At 36.7% G+C, this 23669-nt stretch overlaps 1 protein-coding gene across 16 annotated transcripts in view; it reads right to left on the reverse strand.

The window, feature by feature from the left end:
• The window catches only part of ARAP2 (ArfGAP with RhoGAP domain, ankyrin repeat and PH domain 2), a 239381-nt gene that overhangs the window by 214886 nt on the left and 826 nt on the right, over nt 1-23669 (reverse strand). For 15 of the 16 annotated variants that reach the window (XR_007096351.1, XR_007096352.1, XR_007096353.1 and 12 more), the window contains exon 2: nt 8293-9356. Coding sequence is in view for 7 of the 16 variants with exons in the window: in XM_047449575.1 (XP_047305531.1) it covers nt 8293-9197 (905 nt within the window). In the remaining 9 variants the exon portion in view is untranslated. Of the gene's footprint in view, nt 1-8292; nt 9357-23319; nt 23651-23669 lie in introns of those variants that run through there. The other variant, NR_146893.2, reaches the window with a different exon arrangement.

Raw genomic sequence — 23669 nt, forward strand, 5'->3', positions numbered from 1 at the left:
ACATATGACAGTGATCCAATAAGAACATAATGAGAATGAAAAATTCCTATTGCCAAGTGATGTTGTAGCCATTGCAACACCACAGTACAACACGTTATTCATGTTTGTGGTGATGCTGGTGCAAGCAAATCCACTGCACTGCCAGTCATATAAAAGTATAGTGCATAAAATTATGCACAGTACATAATACTTGATAATAAGTGATCATTTTACTGGTTCATATATTGACTATACTTTTTTATTTTATTTTAGAATGTACTCCTTCCACTTATTTTTTTTTTAAGATAACTGTAAAATAGCCTCAGTCAGGTCTTTCAAGTAGTATTCCAGGAGAAGGCATTGTTATCATAGGTGATGACAGCTCCATGCATGTAACTGTCCCTGAAGACCTTCCAGAAGATGGGAACGTGGAAGAGTTGTAAATTTTATACCTTTTTAAAAATTAATTAAAAATAGAAAAATGCTTATAGAACGAGGATATAAAGAATATTTTTGTGCAGCTGTATAATGTGTGTTTTAAGCTAAGCATCATTACAAGAGAGTAGGAAGCTTGAAAAGTTAAATTAAAAAGTTATAATAAGCTAGGGTTAATTTATCATTGAAGAAAAAAGTATTGCTATAAATCTAGTGTAGCCTAAGTGTACAGGGTCTATAACGTCTACAGTGGTGTAATGTCCTCGGCTTCACCTTCACTCATCACTCACTGACTCACCCACGTTAAGTGCCCTATACAAGTGTACTATTTTTTATATTTACACCATATTTTTACTGTACCTTTTCTATGTTTAGATTTGTTTAAATTCACAAATATCTACTATTGTCTTACAATTTCCTACAGTTCAGTACAGTAATATGCTGTACAGGTTTGTAGCCTAGGAAGAGTAGGCTCTACCATATAGCCTCGGTGTGTAATAGGCTATACCATCTAGATTTGTGTAAGTACATCCCATGATGTCCAAATAAGGACAAAAGCACCTAATGGCATATTTCTCAGAATGTGTGGCCATCGTCAAAGGACTCATGCATGTGTATACACACACACATATAGCATACAGATAAAAAAAATGAGAAATAAGATTATTATCCGCATTTTTAAAAGTAGGTAAAATTGGCACAGAAAGGGGTTAGGTCACTTACTCAAGTTCACACAACTCATAAGTAACTGATCTGAGATCAAACCTGGGCAGTCTTGTTCCTCACCCAGGACCTAAGCCACAATGCTTAACTTACATTAAAAAAAAAAGATTTTGAATATTTTAAGTATATCCATTACTGGAATTTTTAAGGAATATTTTGTTGGTTTTACCAATAAATAAAATGTGAAGAAAAAAGTTTGTGATAATTTGTATTGATTTCCTCATGTAATATCTACCTACAAGGGATTACCAAATCTATCAACCAAGTTCAGATGAACTGCTGGAGATGAAAAATTGGCACAAATATAGGAAGTAAGTTGTTTTGAAAACTCTTGAGTAGCAACTTACATTTTCATTTATCTATTAATAAATTATCACAACCTTTCTTATATTCTAACACTTATTATGCCCAAAGCAAAAAGCAAGTGGCTTTCTTTAGCTACAGCTCACATTAATTCCTTGTATCAGCCCTGTGAAGTAGGACTTGGTATCCTAATCCTACCAATAAAGGCGGGAAATTCTGCCAGCGCAAGTCCCACAGCTAAGAAGAAGAAAGCCAAGATTCAAGATCAATTTTGTCTTTCTTTTCTACTATTTTACCAGTTATCCTGAAAACTGCTTTTAACTTTGAAATATAAAGCATGTTGATTTGTGAAAATTAAAAACTGAACCATAGTCATCATCCTCTCCTGTTCTTACACTTGTATGATGTTAGCCTAGTTACTTAAAAGTTCTGAACCTGCTTTCCACATTTATTAAAGGGGGGAAAATCCAGGGCCTGCTGCCTAGGAATATTACAATGATTAATGAGATGATGCTTTTACAGAACATAAGGCAGTGGCCTACATAATATAAAACCTCAGCAAAAAATGTTATTTTTATTACAGAAAAAAATTGTTGGTCCTCCTGGTAAACCTAATGTGTGCATTTGTTTCTTAAAGTCCTCAAAATGAACACTTCATATTTGTAATAGTTGAAAAGTGTCAACAACTTAGGATAATAAATTGTTTTTAAAATCAAACATTATACAAGTTATTATATAAAATATATATATTAATGTGGAAAAATCACAAAAATAGTAAGTGAAACACCAAACTACAAAAGAATATCATTTTCATTAATCAAAAACATCTATAACAATGCTATCGCATCTGTAGTAAAAGTACAAAAGCATGCACGAGTAGGATAAACACCAGTTTCAGAATATTGGTTACTTCCGGGCACAAAGGAAGGAGGCAGAAAAGTTAGCTGAATTTATTATTTCTTAATAAACTAAAGTCTGGGTCCACTATGGCAAGATTTTTTTTTTAATCTAGATGGTATTATATGGTAACATGATATTTTGCATACTCTTATGTATGTTTGAAATTTTCCAATTTATAAATAATTTTGTCTTAATATTTTTGTTGTGGCTTTCAAACCATTTTTTAAATATGACTCATACTACAGTTTCTGACCAGGAAGCCAGAATTACTAGCTTAACTTCAAATAGGGAGAAGGTACCTCCTTCTTCCTCATAAATTCCCTGAAAGTCATAACCTCATCTTCATCCTTGTATTGCACTCCTTTTTCCCTTCCCCTCAGTGCTTTGGACCAACAAGCTAACCCTTGTTGAAAAAAATACCCCAACCATCATAAACATATCCAGGTAATATACGTCATTGTTGAGGGGCTCAGAAATCTTGTCATATGTAAATGAGCTTGGGAAATAAAGCATGTATATTTACAGCTTGATTTGCGGAGTTTCAAAAAAGGGAAATTTTAAAATAAAGCTTTATTTTAGTAAGTTAAAACTTATGTTCAAATGGAAATAATGTTTTAAAACCCCAAATAATAATAAAATCTAAAAATAAAACCCAAATCAAAAATATCAATGATTCTGATTCATATTAACTTGCTAAATGTCTTGTTACTACTTTCCCTATGTCGATTTTATTATTTTTAAAACCCTAAATCAGTAAATAGAGGAAATCTGCAGATGTTCAATTGTGATGGGCTGACCTACTATAAACAGTCGTTGCCTGTGGAATGTAATATGTTTGTAAGGCCTTTGAAAATACCTAAATTCTATTACTTAAATAGAGAATTAACAAATTTCTATGCAAGTAAAGAAAAACTATTGTTGTGAATAAAATTGTGTCCCTACCCCACAAAATTCATATGTTCAAACTCTAACCCCCAACGTGGCGACTGTATTTAAATTAGGTAAGTAATTGAAGTTAAATACAGTCATAAGGGTGGGGCCCTGTTCCAATAGAACTGGTAGCCTTCTAAAAACAGAAACCAGAGATGGCTCTCTCTCTCTCTCTCTCTCAGCCCAGGAACAAAGCCCATATAAGCAGACATCAAGAAGGCCACCATCTGATAGCCAGTAGAGAGCCGTCACCAAAACCAAAGGATGCTAACACTTTGATTTCAGACTTTTAGTATCCAGAACGATAAGAAAAATTTCTATTGGTTAAACTACCCAGTCTACGGTATTTCGTCATGGTAGCCAGAGAGACAAAGACAACTATCATTGGTATCAGAATTAAAATGGTTTGTTTAAAGAACCTTAATATAAAAGAAGAGAAAGTAATGAATAACTCTGATTATAAAAGTGAGTGTTCAGCATACCTAGAGGTTTTTTTTTTAATATTTTTAATCACTAAAGTTGCCCAGAAAAGCAGTGGCATAAAGGTTAATGTCAAAGATATCCCCTTATGAACTGTACTTACTTACTACTTAGACAAGGCAGCCAAATAAAAAAAGAAACAACAAATATGTGGATCATCATTTCACAAAATGTTAAAAATAAATAAATAAATAAATGAATAAATAAATAAAAACAGTTCTCACAATTGATTACAGACTATGGGTCATTCTAGAGTGAAATTAAAAAAAAAAAACACAATCATTAGGCAGCAGTTTAACACTGCCTTGAGGTTTTCATAATATCTAACTAAAACAGACAAATCTGAATTCAGAAAGCATGAGAGTGTAATTACAGCATAGACCAATAATGTGAAACTGACAATGCACAGATAATTAAGCCTCAATCTGTGAAGTTTTAAAAAACATCCTTAGGGTAAGAATGAATTATCATTACAGAACTACTGCAACACATAAGTTTACAACATCATGAATTTTTTAATCTACTAGCAAAAATTTCAATTTTATACGTTTTTCAAACAAGATGGATTTACAAAAATGAAATATAAATGTAATGACTTTTTAACTTAGATTATTGAGCAGATAGATACCCTCACCTTCTAACAATAAATCTAACTTCTATTTAAATTTAGATTTAATTATTTATGTATTCAATTCAAAATTTAGCAAATATTAAAATAATTAGCCTTTTTTCATAGAATTTAAAAAGCATTTTAAAAGAAAGAAATCAAAATGTTAAGATTGCTAAGTATTTTTCTACTATAACGTGAAACATAAAATTTTCTTGAAGATGAAAATGAAGGATATCCTTCTGTATATTTCTTATTCAGTGCAGCAAACAAATGCTGATTACTTTTCTGTACTTTTTGCTCATATGTATTGTTGACATTAAAATCTATAAAATAATGTCAACCATTTTGAATGTCTATGTGAATACAGAGGAAAAATATCCAAGATTTTTATTTTTAATAAAAAGTTCAAAGAACACAGGAGACTTCAGGTTTAGATTTCAAACTTTTGAAAAGCCCTCAAAGGAGTCAACACAGCCCCTCAGTTTTCTAACAGTTGTACTTCCACAACAGTGCAGCTTTGCACACCATCCCTCTCCCACTACTTCTGCTTCTTCATTTGCCCTTACCCCCAAAACATTCAGAGGCACTACACCTTAAAAAGAAGGCTTTGAGACCTATCCCAAGGATAATACAATTGCATGAAAGATGTACAAAAATCACTAAAGCGAGGAGGAAAAATGTACTTCCTTCAGTAGCTGTGAGATTCCTTCCTGCCTGGGGCACTAAGAAGATTCTGCATAAGATCACATGGCACACCTACAACTCCCATGGGCAATGTGGCATCTGCTTTCTGCTTGGAGGGCTCCCAGGGACTAGCAAGGCCTCCAAGTGAAGGTGATAAGGAAGGAGCTGGTGCTTGGAGCCTAGTCCTGATCTAGCTTTCAAGAAATAGTTCAAAAGATAACCTGAGGTTATTGTCCAGGCCAGCCCTCCAGTTAAAAGGAGCAGGCAGGAATTCAGGGAAGAACCCAAGTCCACAACAAAGACAAAAAATTTAATAGAGCATCAGTTCTATCAGATTCTGTTGAGAGGAAGGAGGCAGGAGGGCACGTGTCCAGGGAGAGAAAAACAAAGAGCCCTATGTCAGGAAAAGACTGCAAAGTCAATATCCACATTCCTTTGAGCAGCTGTATGAAATGTTTAGTAATTCCTTTAAAAACACAGGCCATAAAGAAATATTTTCTTTTGGTATATCAAGGAATGCACTAAATATCATTTGCAGGTTCAATATCAATGACCAATCAATATCAATATCATTGACCAAAGAGAAACTCACGTTACATAACCCACAGTTTGATTTAAAAAGTTATATTATAACACTTTAAAATCATGGAATTACTATTTGCAACATAGGGAAGGAGCACAAGGAAAAACAAACAGTGAAGTCTGAAAATAATTTATTTGCTCATTTTATGATCTGAGCACCACAAAAGCAATGCTGCTATTAACTACCATAATCAAAGAAAAGAAAGGTTAGGATAAGTAATCTGGCCTAAAAATCACATGAAAAAAAAAACAGTGCTATGATATAGCTAGTACTAAATTATTTACTACTAATTTTAATGTTTCCACTCTCAAAGACTCAGTCACAAATTGAATAACGAGCTTTTCATATGATACAAAGCTTACAACAGAAGGAGTTGAAAATATACCACTCCAGCATACTTACTATTTTGAATAAAGGCATTTAATTCAAATATTGGAAAATAACAGGTGTAAAAAGAGGACTCTGATCTTCCAGCCTCCTTAAAAGCAGAAGATGAAATTCCCCTGAAAGAAATTAACATCCTGTCCTCAAGGACAAGAAGTTGAGACCAAAGAATTCTGTACAGACCTTGTTAAAAAAACGTATCTTTTAAGCCCCCCCCCACATAATTTAGTTGGTTTTTCACAACTTACTGCTCTTTTTGCAATTCATTATTTAAGCGTTTCACTCTAACTACTTATTTGGATCTTTATCTCTTTATGAGGATTCTTGTGGCACATAAAACTCATATTACTTGTATGAAATAAATTTGTATGCTTTTCTCCTGTTAATCTGTTTTATATCCATTTAATTCTCAGGCCCAGCTGGGACCCTAAGAAGAAAGAGGTGGAATTTTGCTGCCCCTATACAACTAAATGAGTATCAAGATTCTCTGTAAAATTCATGAAAATTAGCACAGACTGTTTGAAACTTAAATCAAATGATCCTTTACAGCTCCCAAAGGGATTCAGTCCTGGCAAAGATGCAGCTTTAACATGTGTACACATAGTAAACCCTTCTGGCATGTCAAAAGCATCTGCCATCTGAAGACTTGTCATTTCTCATTCACCTTCTTTTAATTATTCAAAATTAGCAAAATATTTTAAAGCTAAAGTGTCAAACAAAATGAGTGTCCTTTACAGTCCCAACAAATAATCCAATTCTTATATAGCCAATCAACATTTTCAACAATATTTACTCAATGAGTGGTTAAGGAAGTGGGATCTAGAGTCAGATGTACTGGTAGGAAATCCTAGTTCACTACCCATGTGATCTTGGAGAAATTAACCCAAGGCTCAGTTACCTCAAAAGTAAAATGGGATGAACATTACCTACTCCATGTTCACATGGAGTAGGAGTGGCCCTTATATTAGATAACTCCTGCAAAATTATAAACCAAACTAGTGTTTAATAGATGACACTAGTTGTTTAATAAATGTGGTTAATACATGACACTATATTGATTTCCTAGTAAATACCAGACTTTGCTACTGGCACTAGGGATGTCAAGATAAAGACAAATTAATTAGAGTCTCTGCCATCAAAACGTTTATGCTCTAATAGGAGATACTTACATTAACAGAGCCTTGTAAACGGTCATGTTTTCTCTCACAAACACTAAATTGCCACCTTTTATCTTGTAACTACTATTAGCACTGCAATTACCAAAGGTACCTAAGGCCAAGAGAATCAGTAGCGGCCACAGATTCAAAGGGAGTAGCAGGAAAAGCAGGCATGGGGGGAAAGAGGAATCCTGCTGAAACTCCAGCGTGGAGCCTGTGCAGGACGTGTGTAAAGCATTTAGTGCCACTACAGTAACAGTCAAACTTGAACAGCCTCGTGTCTCAGCAGACACACAAGGGTTAAGTTTTAATGGGAAAAGCAATATCCTACTCCAACCCTGGAGAAAACCACAACTATTTTAGGTATAACTTTGAGATTCATAAATTCTGAAAGCTAAAGCTGATGACCTCTTTTGCTATAAATTACCTCCTCCCAAACTGTTTAGGTAATCCTCCTGTGACCTCAGGATACCAATGACTTACTACCTGCGTATAAGAACCTACACTGGTAGAGCCCCTCTTTGGGGTCCCAGAGGTCTCATCTCTAGTGAGCCTAGCTTCATACTGAGCTGTCTGTCACCATCTTTTTACATGTGACTTCTATACGAGACTGCAAGTCACCGTATTCCTCTTTGCATCCTTCCCACCGAGCACAGTGACTAAAGACCAAGTTCAATAGACATGTGCTGAATTATTACTTGGTGCCAAGCATTGTACCACGCAGCAGAGATACAAACATTAAAAACATGTTCTCTGTCAAAGAACAAATCATCTATTGGGGAGAGAGAGTCAACATTTCAAATATGAGAACTGCACTAATGGAAAGACTACAATACTAGGTGTGGAAACTTGGTATGGAAAGGAATATCCAGGTAGAATTAAGGGAAGGGATGTCCCCCCGCTTAAATAGGGAAAAGCTAAAGAGTCCCAGGCATTATTAGCTGGAAACAGACTGTGAAATAATGTCCAATGGGATGAAGACTTTTTTTTTAAAAGAAAAGGTTGGTTGAATAGGTAAATGAATACAGTCAAATTTAGATAGGAACACTGAAAATATAACTGTTAAAAAAAATCACTGAATTTCCTCAAATTGAATATTTACAGCTTATTGTAAAGATTCTTACCTCCCAGAAACTCCTTTTGTTGACCCTGGAATCTCTGGTACAGGTCGATGTCTTAGCAGAAAAGATCGAGATGGTCTTGAAACCAACTTGCTACGACTTCTCACAGGTGCTAGGATTGGTGATGATGGAACATACAAGTCATTTACAATCATTTCTCCTTGAAACTTAAAGAATGGGGATGGTGGTGATCCTTCTAATAAACCATTTGTTCCATTTCCAGAATTTGTTCCTGATGTTGAACAGCCAACAAAAGAAAGGCATTCAGAGTCTGCATTAGGGAGCTTACTGAGATTTTCTGTGATCAATTTAACTTTTTCTGTTTGTTGTTCTTCAACTGTGTGATCCACAGTCTTCTTTGTAATCAATGATTCTATTTTAATATTGTCACTACCAAATAAAGAATCATTCAAAGAACCCAAATTCAGGTGTGGTTCCTCTGCAGTGGGGAAGTCGCGTTTAGGAGGAGACAGCTTATCATCTGATTGAGGATACTGGCTTCTTTCCACACTTGCATCACTGTCTTCAAGATTTTTTCTAACAGTCTCCAACTGCGGTGGGCTAGATGTCTGAACACTACCAGAATTGGAAAGTTCTATGCAGATATTCTGATCAGAAGATGGAACATGGTAATCCTTTGAAGGGTCATCATTCTTCTTAGTTTTATGAACATTTGCATATATTGGAATATCTTGCATTTTTGACAAGATTATCTGTAACTGTTTAAGTATCCTCCTACGGTGACCTGTAGGTGATATTCCAATTTTCTGCAGCAGGCTGTCATTTATTGCTGCACAGTCCTTCACAGTAGTAAAACCAGACTCATGGAAATGTAAGAGATACTGCTCCAAATTAATGCTCATTAGGAAATCTTTTATATCCACATTTACTTCACTGACTGAGGACATAATGGTGGCTTCATTACTAAGCTGAGTTACAAAAAGTGGCACGATGAGACACACACACAAGAAGATGTACTTCTCTACTGGCTTTTCCTCTATCAATTGTGACAGAAAAGTTTCTTAAAATGTTATTTTCTTCACAGTGACTGCTTTACCTGCTTAAGCCTAGAAAAAAATAAAAAATGATTCATTAGGCTATTTTAATTATTAAAATCTACTTTTATATACTTTCTCTGAAAAAAACAGCAGAAATTAGGACACTAACTCTCACTCTGCAGTTGGAATCTTTGTGCATTGCTTTGCATGCCCTAGAAAACCAGTTTCTCAGTATGTGAAGGTACAGGACAGAAATGCTATGACAGCATCAAACTATGACTTTCAAAAAGGTGAAAAAAGTGACACTGACACATGTACTGAATGAACATATATCAAAAACTTTATTCAACTTATTCATTAAAAATGAGGGAACCAGTAAGTCAGTAAGATTGGATTCAAGAGCATTTGTGGGAAAGATGTATATAGTTCATCAGAAAGGGTTTTTTTAAAGTATTAGAATAGGATAGCTAGCTTAGATAAAAAACTGTTTAATGTCCTACAGGATAATAAGCCATAACATTTGGGGTTATCTTTTCTACTGGACAAAAATCTATAAGCATACAGGTAACTTCTCAGTGTCTATGTGCTACTCAAATAATAAATAGCCAAGTCAAGCACAGGAATTAAAATTGGGATTAAAATATCTCTAAGGTGGTCCTGTTAAACAATATTCCCACAAAGGCACTGAAAGAATGTTCTTTTGACTTTCAAGTTTTATGCAATTTTCTTAACAGTAGTTGAATATAACAACTTTCCCTTTCACTGCATTTTCTTTCAAATACTTAAAAAGCAGTCAGAACATATTTCTCAGTTCAATAATTTTCATTTCATAAAAACAGGCAGCATTGTATGTAAACAATAGTGATATACAAGATATGACACTGAATAATCAGCTAATTCTTAAATACATTAGATAACAGAAAATATGCTAATATGAAAGGTCACATGTCCTCCAATGTACATAGCAGATTCATAAAGGTTTATTTTTCTCCAAAACAAAATAAAATTTTTTAAAAGTCCATTTTTCCAGATGCTAATTATACAGGTGTGTTCAGTTTATGAAAATGCATATGTGCAACTTTCTGTACATTGTGCGTCAATAAAAAAGTACAGAGCAGGCATGACACACATACACTGAAGTAATAAAATGAGACACACCCAAACAAGGAAAATTTCCCTGAGTAAGCTTTGATGCAGGACTGAAAAACCCCTCTACAAAAGGCACTACTTGGACTCTGCATATGCCACACGCCAACTGCCCATAAGCTACGGCTTCAACTATTTTAAAATATCAGCAAGCAGTAACAAACAGGTATAGGATAAAAGGGAAAGAGTATATCTTCTTCAGGACACACTGCAGGAGCAGAGAAATAAAAATACAAAATAAATGATGAAAGGCAAGAAATGCCTTTGTCAATAAGGCATCCCAGAGTAACACCTAAAATGCTAAAATGTCACACACAAAGAAGTTACACCTCGGCCAGGCAAAGTGGCTCACGCCTGTAATCCCAGCACTTTGGGAGGCCAAGGCTGGCAGATTATTTGAGGTCAGGAGATGGAGACCATCCTGGCCAACATGGTGAAACCCCATCTCTATTAAAATACAAAAATTAGCTGGGTGTGAGGGTGCGTGCCTGTAATCCCAGCTACTCGGGAGGCTGAGGCAGGAGAATAGCTTGAACTTGGGAGGCGGAGGTTGCAGTAAGCCGAGATGGTGCCACTGCACTCCAGCCTGGAGACAGAGCGAGACTTCATCTCAAAAATAAATAAATAAATAAATAAATAAAAAATTTTAAAAAAAGAAAAGTTACACAACACTACATACAAACTCAATTCTCAGATAAGCCACTCTTTTTCTACACAATTATTTTGCAACAAGTGTATTGTCTATTTTTACTAGCATTATCACAGGATGGAAATAATTACTACCAATGGAACAATAAGTGGACATAATGTATTCAGCCACTTTAGAATTTACAAACATGATAAATTGGCCAATAACTTGAGAGGATTAGAAGCATTTTCCTTCTGAAGTAGAATAAAGTATAAAAAGTCATAGTCTTGCTTACCCCTGTTCATAAAAACCTTAATAGGAGAAAAACAATTTTAATAAAATACATACACACACGCACACCAAGAAACCTCCTGATCTGTCCCTACCCCAAATCTAAAGCCTAGACTGTATTCCCAAGTCCACCTTTGTATTATCCACCACACTCAAGGAATGAGGTGACCTACCGATTTTACTCCTTGCTACTGATAGAATTATGTCCTCCCAAAATTCCTATCTTGAAGCCCTAACCTTTACCATGACTGTACTTGGAGACAGGGCCTCCAAGGAGATAATTAAGGTTAAATGAGGTCATCAGGAAAGGACCTTGATAAGATAGGATTAGTTTCTTGCAAGAGACACCAGAGAGTTTTCTTTCCCCCAGGCCCAGAGCCCTCTATGTAAGGACACAGGGAAAAGGTGGCTATCTGTAAGCTAGGAAGAGGAATCTCACTAGGAAACTTATCAGCTGGCAAATGGATCTTGGACTTCTCAACCTCTAGAGCTGTGAGAAAATAAATTTACGTGGTTTAAGCTACATGGCCTGTGGTATTTTGTCACAGCAGCTGAGCTGACTAATACACTTCTCCATCCTCACTGCTTTTGCCATGGTTCCGAAACTCATGACATCTTTTGCATGGATTACTGCAATCGTCTCTGAACAAATCTCTCAGCCCAGTCTCCACGTATCAGTCAGTGAACTATCAAACACACAAATTCGGTATGTAACTCCACATGCTCAACCAGATAAAGTCTATGCTGATATTGCTTATAGTGCCAAATCACATTTTTGTCTCTAACAATAATAATAGCAGGTGCTATTGATGTAAACAGCAATTATGTGTCAGACACCATGCTCATATTTCCTATGAGACAGGCATTCCTATGTATCAACTACAAGCTCATATTCAACCCTTGCCAAACATTCTACCAATATCCTTCATTCACTTTAGTCCACTCTTGTCAATTATTTCCCTGAGGCAACAAACTGTTTAGCAGCTCCATAACTTTTTGCATACACTCTATCTGCTTTCTTAAGCACCATTCAAAATTATAAACAGGCAGGTATTACCTCCTCTGTGAAGGCATCTTATCAACCCCTCAAAATAGAATAAATCACTCCTTCCTTGACATATATCTATAATTTCTATACCAGAGCTTTGCAAAGCACTTGGAACATGTTTAAGAGATGTGAGAGAGGCTGATAAAAATGGCAGAAGAGATTGAGAAGCCTATTGTATTAGTTTTTTGCTATGCATGTGTGTATTTTTGTTTTAATAAACAGCCCTTTCCTTTCTTTGGCAGACACATACATACTTCCTAGGTGGTCAAATCAAAGAAAGATATACCAGAAGCTCTACCCAAAACCATCTCTATCACTCAACATGCTGAATATGGTTAATGAATCTGATTCCTTTTCATGCCATGGAAAAGGCTCCCTCCCACAGCCCTAAAATCCTCTCTGCACATTAATGTCAACTCTGTCCTCCAATTGTCTGACATTTTAACTGTCTGAACACCCAAGAGTGTTCACAGATCCAATTCTTAGATGCTCTAGCCCCAAGCACATCATTAGATACACAGAGATGAGCATGCCTAATTATAAAATTCCAGTATGTGAAAGCTCCTTAATACGAAATTGAAGCTCTCCATGTTTTGACCTCCAATTGCAGTCTATGGCATGTATGCCACAGTCTAGATCAGTGACCCTCCAGGTACTGATCTGTGGATCTTCTGTACATCAACAACTGCTGTGGGTCCTACGAGTCTACACTTGTTACACCCTCCAATTATAACTAGGATGTGTGACAAAATGTGGTAATTACAGTCCTAAGTTCTTGAGGCTTCCCAAACATGCTTTATACCAGCCCACCTGAGCCTAAGCTCATCACTGTCCTCCTCTTGGATAAAATCCCCCATCTAACATACTGCACACAAGTTTGCAGTAAGACTAAATTAAAATCCCACCTCCTCCACTTTCTAGCAGTGTAAACATAGGCCCGTGCCCATGTCAATGTCTCTACTTCCTTTCCCATAAAATGGAAATAATCCAGGGTACCTAGCATTGGTGAGGATTAAATGAGATAATCCATCATAAGTGACTCGCACATAGTGCCTAGCACGTACTGATGCTTAGTAAACATTCACTTCTGTCACTATAATTATTTTCACCACTATAGTCATTCTGTCCCCACAGTTAAATTTTCTGTTCTTTGAGGTCTAAAACACTTTCCTTCACAAGAGTTCTAGTGAACAAGAAATGCATCCTCTTCTCCGTATTCCTACACTATTTACTTCTTAGAGTGTTGTCCTAGTCCGTTCAGACTGATTTAACAAAATACGAATGCTCTTGGACTTACAATGAAGTTACATCCCAATAAACCCATTGTATGCTGCAAATATTATAGACTGAAAACGCATGGCTGACTGGGAGCCAGGGCTTGCTGCCACTGCCCAGCATCACTAGAGAATTGCGGTTTCTCTCAAATGCATCACATTCACTCCATCATAAAGTCGAAAAATCCCAAGTCAAACCATAATAAGTTGGGAAGCATCTGTACCTTAGATTGGGTAATTAATAAACAACAGAAGTGCATTGCTCAGAGTTCTGGAGGATGGGAAGTCCAAGGTCAAGGCGCCTGCAGACATCATAGATAATGCCTTCTATGTGTCCTCACATGGCAGAAGGGCAAGGGGAAAACAAACAAGCTCCTTCAGGCCTCTCTTATGAGAAGACTAATTCCATTCACCAGAGCTCTGCCCTCATGACCTAATAACCTCCCCCAAACCCCACCTCTTAATACAATTCCCTTTGGCAGTCAGGTTTCAACATACAAATCGGGAGCGGGGGGTGGGGGACACACACATTCAGACCATAGCAAGTGTTTAACTATATTCTGCTGTTCCATAGATAGTGTAATATAAATGCCAAGACTCTGAATACAGACAACTTGTGTTGAATTCCAATTCCTCCACTTACTAGCTTTATTATCTTGTGTATTTAACTTTTCTGTGCTTTAGTTTCTTAGTCAAAAATCATGGGAGTAATATTAGTACCTACCTCATAGGGCTACTGTGATAATTAAATGAGTTAATACAGGCACAGCACTTATAACAACAACTGGACATTAAAAATTCTAAGTAAGTGTTGCCATTATCACTATTATTTTATTATAATAAACTCTGCCAACAGGACAAACCCATATAAGCTACACAATAAATACCAGATTACTTGCTTATAAGCATGGTGCATCATGTATATGCAGTACATGTTTAGAGAATGTATAAATAGTTGGCATTACAGACATGGCTGTGCATTTGCCCATGCTATCCTGACCCAATTCCATGAGGCAACAAAAGGGAAGTAACATTTAGGAGTACCTGCTACATGCCCAGCTTACCATATCACTCAATAAACAGCACCTTTTTACTTTACTGTGCTATACCTTTAAACTACATCCTCAATTCAGTAACACTACCTATCTACCCTGCTCACATCCTAGCCTAAGCCACCATCATATCTCTCTTAGACCACTGCAATAGCCTCTTAGACTGATATTCCTGATTCTGTCCTGAACCCCTCTCCCCCACACAGTAGATTCTCTCACTACAGGGGCCAGAACAATTAATGTCATAAGAAAAGTCACACCATATCACTCCCTATGACTTCCAAACTTAATCTTCCCTGACTTTCCCCTTCCATCACTTGACAGCCTCAGGGCCAGCCTCCTTTCTGTTCCTTCCTCAGACCTTACCTCTTGATCTTGTCTCTTTACAACCTTCTTCTCCAGCATATACGTATGTCTCCACAGCCACTCCATCACTTTGGTATGTCTCTGCTCAAATGCGCCCTCTTCAGATAGGTGATCCCTCCCTAATCTATGCTATACAAGCATGCCTTGTGACTCACCATCCCTTATCCTTGCTTTATCTGTCTCCACGGCTTCTACTACTGCTGGTATCTGTTGACTGCTCTGAGAGGTCAGGGATCTTGTCTACTGTTCACTGCTCAGCTCAATAAATGTTTGCTGAATAATTTCTCCCTTGCTTTGTGATGAGAAGTGGAAGGTGCACATTGTTTTAAAATGTTGTCTAAGTAACCAAGCTAGTATGGAGCGGATTGATTTCAAGCACAGATTTCTCCAATTCATCTAACCATTAACAGAGGTCCTCAAATCAGGAGTGAGTGTGAGGGGTGGGGCAGTAGGTATAAATTAGAAACATTCTAAACCATCTGTGGGACTTTTAAAAACTCATGGGTTGGGCCAGGCCGGGTGAGGTGGCTCATGCCTGTAATTGCAGCGCTTTGGGAGGCAGAGGTGGGTGGATTGCTTGAGCCCACAATTTCCAGAACAGCCTGGGTGACATGGTGAAACCCTGTCTCTAACCAAAATATACAAACATCAGCCGGGTGTGGTGGTGCACACCTGTAGTCCCAGCTACTCAGAAGGCTGAGGTGGGAGGATGGGTTGAGCTCAGGAGGAGGAGGTTTCAGTGAGCTGAGATTGCATCACTGAACTCCAGTCTGGGCAACAGAGCCAGACCCTGTCTCAAAAAAAAAAAAAAAAAAATTAATGGGTTGGACAAGCTTCCCCCTAATGTCTCGAATAAGGAAAGCCACTATAGTAAGCCCCTCCCAAACTCCCTCCCCATTACCCATTACCAGTGGAGCTTTGTCATAAATCCCCTAGTTGAACAAGGAAAGCAAACAACTGAAAACCATGGGTTACTTCATTAAACCATGATGTCATTGAGACAAATTCTAGAATCACCTTTGCCTAACTATATGTTACAGGATGGAAAACAGCATAATACAATCGAATCAGTCATATGATCAATCCATTAAAACAAAAAGAGAGCATACCACTGAAAAATCAGAAACACATCCTTAGCAAAGTTAGAAACTTTGTGAGAAAATGGGCTTAATAGCAGTCAGAGGATCACACAACTAAGAAAAAAAGCTTAAAAATATAGATTTACAAATTAGGCTGCTAAATGAATCATGAAACTTTTCAACATTATCAATACAAGTCTTACAAATTTCCATAACAATAAGAGCTGGCCATATTCCAGAACAGTGGTTCCCAATGGATTGGAACTATATCCCTTGATTGGATTCAGAGATATATGACAAAATGCTTTTGCTGGTCTTAATGACCAACAAATGACTAAGTGACACCAGTAGACAGAAAAAGTGACTATGACATTCTGCAATAGTACCCAGATAAAAAATTCAAGTGTGATTTTTACTCCTTCAATTCTCTATAATTGATCAGTTCTCAATATGGTACCCAACACTACGGATGATAAAAGAGAAAAGTGTCCCTGCCTTCAAGTGTCCCTGCAATACACCACTTCAGTTTGATGTGCGTCCATGTACATGGCTAAACCTATAAGTCTACATACCTTTACATTTAACTGCCCAAGAGTTAAGAGGCAATGACAAATTAAGGGAGAACATCTTTGTAATTGCCATATAAAGCAGTGGTAATATAGAATTTAGTTTATCAAAACTTATTGTTGCATGTATCATTGTAGAAAGACAGCTCATGCAGGACTACAGTACAGCTGATATAAGGCAACAATATGAAGCCAAAATCAAATAACAAATTATTATTTGCTAATAAACTTATTGTGGAAAAATCACTAATTCCTTGGAAAACTGGACGTCTCCATATGGACAACATGCTGAACTAATTAGCTGAGGGTACAGGTCTTCTAGAAGTCCACCTGATATGGTTTGGATGTTTTGTCCCCTCCAAATTTCATGTGGAAATGTGACCTCTGATGTTGGAGGTGGGTCTAGCAGGAGGGGACCTCGCAGTGGGAAGTCATGGGGGAGGATCCCTGATGAATGGTTTGTGTGGTCCTTGTGGTAATGAGTGAGTTCTCTATGAGTTCATGCAAGATCTGCTTGTTCAAGAGAGCCTGGCACCTCCTCCATCTCTTGCTCCTTCCTGGCATCTGATATGCTAGCTTCCCCTTTGCCTTCCACAATGATTGTAAACTTCCTGAGGCCTCACCAGAAGCTGAGTGGATGCCAGCTCCATGCTTGTACAGCCTGCAGAACTGTGAGCCAAATAAATCAATTTTCTTTATAAATTACCCAGTTTCAGGTATTCCTTTACAGCAATACAAGTGGACTAATACACCATCTTTGCTTTGGTACAAAACACAGAAATAGGTACCGTGTTATTTGCACATCAAGCAAACTAATATCAAGATATTCACTCCAAGTATAGATAAAGACATGTTCAACTTAACTCTTTCCAAGAACCATGTAAAAGAGGAAGTGTTTTAGAGAAAATATGCTTATGATTATATTCTTCCATCCCACAGTATAGAGCAGACTGCAAAAGGATGAAGGTCAGGCCTGCTAACTTATTTTTCTAGTCTGAGTGCTTAGCCCCCAGAAAAAGTATAAAACTGGTTGTTTGGCATCTCTCTCCTCCGCCATCCATTCACTTACCTTAGTGTGTGGCAACATCCGCCCCATTAAACCCCTTACAGGAAGCCCAGTTCCCTCAATGTGGTCATCTCTTTAAATTGTGGTCACTCACAGGCTCTGACCTCCTCTGTACCCTGTTCTCTACCTCAACCACTACTTCTTTCCCACCCACCAAAACACATCCATCTTCTTTCATTCTCCCTCAGAATGACATTGATAATAATAATAACCAGTAGTTGTGGATGTTTGCAAACCATTTTTGTAGGACCTCATTTACTCCTCACAGCTGCAGAGGAGGAAAATCCGACGCTGAATGTCACGCAATAGATAAACAGTGGAAACACTAACTTAAGTGTTTCTAAGAGTCAGACTCCACAACCTGTGCTATAAACTGTAAAGCCTCATAGTAGATATAAAATTGATTTAATAGTAAAGAGGTAGCAAAGACTTAATAGTCTCCCTCTCCTTTGTCTAGCTGTTCATAAGGGCTTATATTCACACTAGGGAAATGCTGTTTAAATATACCATATCTTGCAAATTCAAGTTTTATACACCATTTAAGTTTGATATGTGTCCATGTACGTGGCTAAACCTGGAAGCCTACATTCATTTACATTTAATTGCCTGAGAGTTGAGAGCCAATGACAAATTAAGGGAGAACATCTTTGTAATTGCTATATAAAGCAATGGTAATGTAGAATTTAGTCTATTAAAATTTATTTTGCATCTATCACTGCAGAAAGACAGCTAACACAGGACTATAGTACAATTGATATAATGCAACAATATGAAGCCAAAATCAAATAATCAAATATGACCAAAATAAGTATTCACTGCCCACATGAAGTCAATGGTTATGGTAAAAAACAAAAACAAAAACAAAAACAAATGTGCTTGACGAGAAAATAAAGTGTTAAGGCCAGGCATGGTGGCTCACGCCTGTAATCCCCATACACTTTGGGAGGCCAAGGTGGGTGGATCACCTGAGGTCAGGAGTTTGAGACCAGCCTGGCCAACATGGTGAAATCCCGTCTCTACTAAAAACACAAAAATTAGCAGGGCATGGTGGCACACACCTGTAATCCCAGCTACTTAGGAGGTTGAGACATGAGAATCGCTTGAACCCAGTGGGCGGAGGTTGCAGTGAGCCAATATCACGCCACTACAGGGACAGAGAAAGATGCTGTCTCAAAAAAAAAAAGAAGAGAAAGTATTAACACAAAAAAGATACCTGACTATGATCTTAAAGGTTTAACTTCAAATGTGGTGCAAAAGTAGATAAGGAGTGGAAGCAACCCAGATATCTATGAATGGATGAATGGATGAATGGATAAATAAAGTGTGGTATATACACAAAATGAAATACTAAGCAGCCTTAAAAAGGAATAAATACTGTCACATGCTACAATACAGATGAACCTTGAAGGTCATTATGCTAAGTGAAAAAACAGTCATAAAACAGACAAATACATGATTCCACTTACATAAGGTATCTACCGTAGTCAAATTCATAGAAAGTAGAACCATGATTACCAGAGAGGAGAAGAGAGGTAAGGAGTTGTTTAACAAGCATAGAGTTTCAGTTCTACCAACTGGAAATGGTCTGGAGATCTGTTTCACAGCATTGTAAATATACTTAGCGTTACTGAACTATACACTTTAAAATGATAAGACGGTAAATTTTATAGTATGTGTTATTTTTACCCAGTAAAAAAGGAGATCAGAAAACAGACTAGAAGATTTGGGCCAGTCTCTCAGCTCTTATTCAAATGGAACTCCCTGTACATACCTGGACTTTTTTTCTCTCCTTTGGGAGCCAATTCAAGTCTTACAAGTATGGTAACACCACATTCGTGAGGCTTCCCTGCCTATCCCATCCCTCCTCAATCCCTTATTAGTTCCACCCAGGCAGTAGTATAGATAGCACAATGCCCGAATTCCAGTCCAGGCTTCCCCACTTTTTAACTATGTAACTTAAGTTATTTAACTTCCCTGAAGCTTGTTTTTCTCATTTATAAAATGAGGGTAATATACCCTATATCGTATAGTATTTCTATTAGAATTAAACAAGTAAAAATTTAAGATATATAAGAATACCTGACATGAGTTACAACTGCACCATAAACGTTGGCTAATATTAATTCACCCATTGTATACAATATTGCCTTTAATCATATTCATACCACTATATTGCACTTGGTTTGAATGGAATTCTTCGGTCTGCATAGTAGTATTACATTCCTTTAAATTATCACTGTAAATCATTCTTCTAATAAACCCACAATGCACCTAACACAGCAGTTAACATAGTTTTATTAATGTAGTAACGTATACATGTAGTTAGAGTTGTAAGAATGATGATAATTTCACCTGAAGACTTAACACCTGGGACACAAAGCACAGTGATTTACCAGGGATTCCAGCTCTGCCATGTGCTACCTGTGTGGCCTTGGGAGAATTCCTCTCTTTTCCTGAGCCTCACTGTTGTCATTTGTAAGCAGGGAAAATAATAGTGCCTACCTCACGGGGATATTTTGAGGATGAAATGAGCGCATATGCATTAAAATCTTAGAACAGTGCCTGGTAAGCAACAAGCATTTAATTAGTGTCTTCTGGATGGAGAATAATGGAAATTTTAGCTGAAAATAGGTAGGCTCTGGGCAAAATCATTTCATAGCTTTGATCAAGGAGTAAGGATTGTCTAAGCTATGTTTTGATTATTTTACTTATAGCACAATCTGAAAAACACAATAAAAAAACCTAAAACTTAAAAACAATTTCCATCCAGTGAAGGCCACAAGTACAAATTCCTTTACTTAGTATAAGAACATATTAGTAGCATAGGAGGTACCTAGGTTTAGGTGTTCTGGATAATATCGCAATAGTTAAATGCTTGATAATCTCCTTAGCTTCTGTAAGTCTTTTCCTTTCAAGCTGTCCATCCAGATTTTAAGTTAATTCACTAAGATTTGAGAATTTTTAAAAATTCTAATGTAGAGAGATCCCTAAGGTAAAGCCATAATTCTTGGGATATCAGAGAATAATTTATTCTTCTAGAGTTTCTACAAAAGCAGAATTTTAAAACTTTTGTATAAGTGTATATACTCCACCATTTCTCTGAATGTAAGTCATATTTTTAGACAAACAACCAGATGTTTCAGAATAGCCTACTGTGTTTCCTCTCTTTGCATTTATAAATAGTACTCTGACCTCTTTTCCAACTGAGTTTGAGGGTTTATTCCTATTGGTTTAGCAATTGTCAAAGTTTCTTTTTCTTATAAAAAGAGGGCATTTCAGAAAACGTCTCCTACCTTACTGGACCATTTTTTAACATGTATTCATTCAATATATATTAAGCAACACTACTCGCTCCAAGATAAGAGAGGGAGATATTTGGTGTTCAAGATAACAGCCTCTACTGTCTCATTTGACAACAGTGCTAAGGGCTACAAAGAAAGTGAAGATACAGTCTTCCCTCCAAGAGTTTACAATCTAAAAGGGTAGATGAGACATGACTATAAGAAAAGGTAAATGGCACGTATATGAACAATCAGTTCATTATTACTCAGTAAGTGCCAATAAACAATACCAAAGACACCACAAAAAAACAACTTTTTGCAAAGAATTTGATATATTCCAAAAAAAACACTTAAATTGTAATGGTGAGAAAAATCCAATTTTATGACCCTAATTTCCACATGGTTTTATATTTTAGTATTGTTTTAAATACATGGAGAAGTGGCCCCATCATCCTTCATGAGTTCTCAGGAACTCTAAAAAATCTCAAATCTGCCACCTAAACCACTGCTTCAACCCAAATCAGGCCTCCTTTGTTTTCTCTGCAGCATGGGTAAATAAGTAAGCTTGTGCTGAACAGAAACTGAAACAAAATTTCACAGGACAACTTTCTAACTAGAAAAGATCACGTGAGGAGAATACCATTAAGTACTGCTTCATTTAAAGAAGAAACAAGTGAGCAAAATGGTTTAACTACCATTATATATTTAATCTGGCCAATACTTACAAGTAATAACTAAAATGATAAATTACAAGGTCCAGAACTTTGCAGAAAAGATTAAGACAGCGTCTCATAGCCTCTAATCTCACATCCACCATATGTGGTCAAAGCTAAGACATATTTCCCAGATTATTAAGAAGTTCTCTACCTAATTAATATTTCACCAAGAATTCCCAAAACTCTTACAATGTAGCATGTGCAAAGATTGTATCCAAGAAATGTATCAATAAATAAATGAGGACAGGTGGAAATGTATGCTAAAAGAAAACTATTAAAGCAATGACTATTATTTATACTTAGCATTTTTATAGTCACTTTCACCAAACTTTCTCACAGTTGCAGGGAGGTGGGTTAGAAAGTAACAAAACGAAACAACAACAACAACAAAAAACTTCTCATATATCATGAAGTCTATAACCCAGAATTCTACGTAGACTTTAAAACTTCATAGTTTCAATGCGTTAAAGTTCTTAAGAAAACTGTAATTCATTATAATCTGAGTTCTATACTTCTCCACAGTATCCAAGAATAGTTGGATCTGATATTATTGCATATCCATGAGCCTTACACTGCAAGGAGCTTGCAGTGATATTAGAAAAACAAGAATTTGTTTTTAAACGTACCATCAGCTTCTCCTTTTACAGACAAGCCACATAAAATCTGACAGGTTTACAGACGAAGGAAAAAATACAAACACAAGCACACACCCATATAAATACGTTTTAACAAGCTCTCTCACTTACCCTCTAGGTACATTTTAATTCAAATAAATCTTTGAGTACTGACAAATCTATATAAAACCCTCTTCGTGTTAGGAACCACCTTAAATGTGTATGTGTTAAATATGTTTAGAAAGAAGCCAGGAAGATATTTGCACTTAACCCTAGCCTAGTTCCATGACCCACTTTTTTTTCTTCTTTAAACGTTGTTGGACAAAAAATGTCATGAGTATTTTCTCTCAATATTTCTCCTGTAAGTGTATGGAAGTCATAAATAAGAGTTAAAAAAAAAAGAGTTTAAAGGTATTTCTCTTTTTTTCCTTAAAAAAAGTTAGCTTGCTTTTTATCTTCCAATTACTTACGGGCAAAGTTCCATGGGCCTGTGGGGGTGTAGAGTGCTTAAGTGCAGATAAATCAATACTGAGCTTGTAAGTACAATACTATTATGAGTAATAACAATGACATCCTATTAAATGTACTTTTAAAAATAGCTTATTTTCAATACACTTCTTGATTTTTTTTAAACCGAAGGCTGTATTCTACTGAACAGCCTACTTCAAGGACAAGCTTGCAAAAAAAAAAAAAAAAAAAAAAAGAATTTGCTATCAGGATACCTACTTACAACACCCTAAGATGTCATTATTCCACACAAATTAGCTTATTTTCTTGTGTTTTCCTCTAATTATCAAAGGCTATATAATCCACGAACCCTTTCCCCAAATCAAAATAACTCCAGATCACCTCAAGGTAGGAGGTGTTTAAGAAAACAAGCCAGAATTAGATAAAGTAAAACTTACTTTATTAAATAGGATGGACACCACTTCTCCCAAGAGAACTGTCTCCAAAAGTAAACAAGAAAGATCAATCTGGTAAACTCACATCATACAGGTTCCCGTGTAAGGTATCGGGTTCAGGCAGGTGGAAGCCAAATGATCGTAATTAAAGTTAATTAACAGGCCAGTCGTCTTAACGTGGTTAACAAGCAGGGTGCGGGGCAGCACAGACACCCGGGCAAATTCATGATCTCTACCGAGTAAATAACTTGGTGCCTGAAACTCACTACAGCTTCTTCTTATTTAAAGGTAGGGGAGAGGAATGGAGGGAGTGTCCAGCTGTCTATCCGGATCCTCACCCTCCCGGGTCAAAT

This window comes from Homo sapiens, chromosome 4 (genome assembly GCF_000001405.40).
Source record: "Homo sapiens chromosome 4, GRCh38.p14 Primary Assembly".
Lineage (NCBI taxonomy): Eukaryota > Metazoa > Chordata > Mammalia > Primates > Hominidae > Homo > Homo sapiens.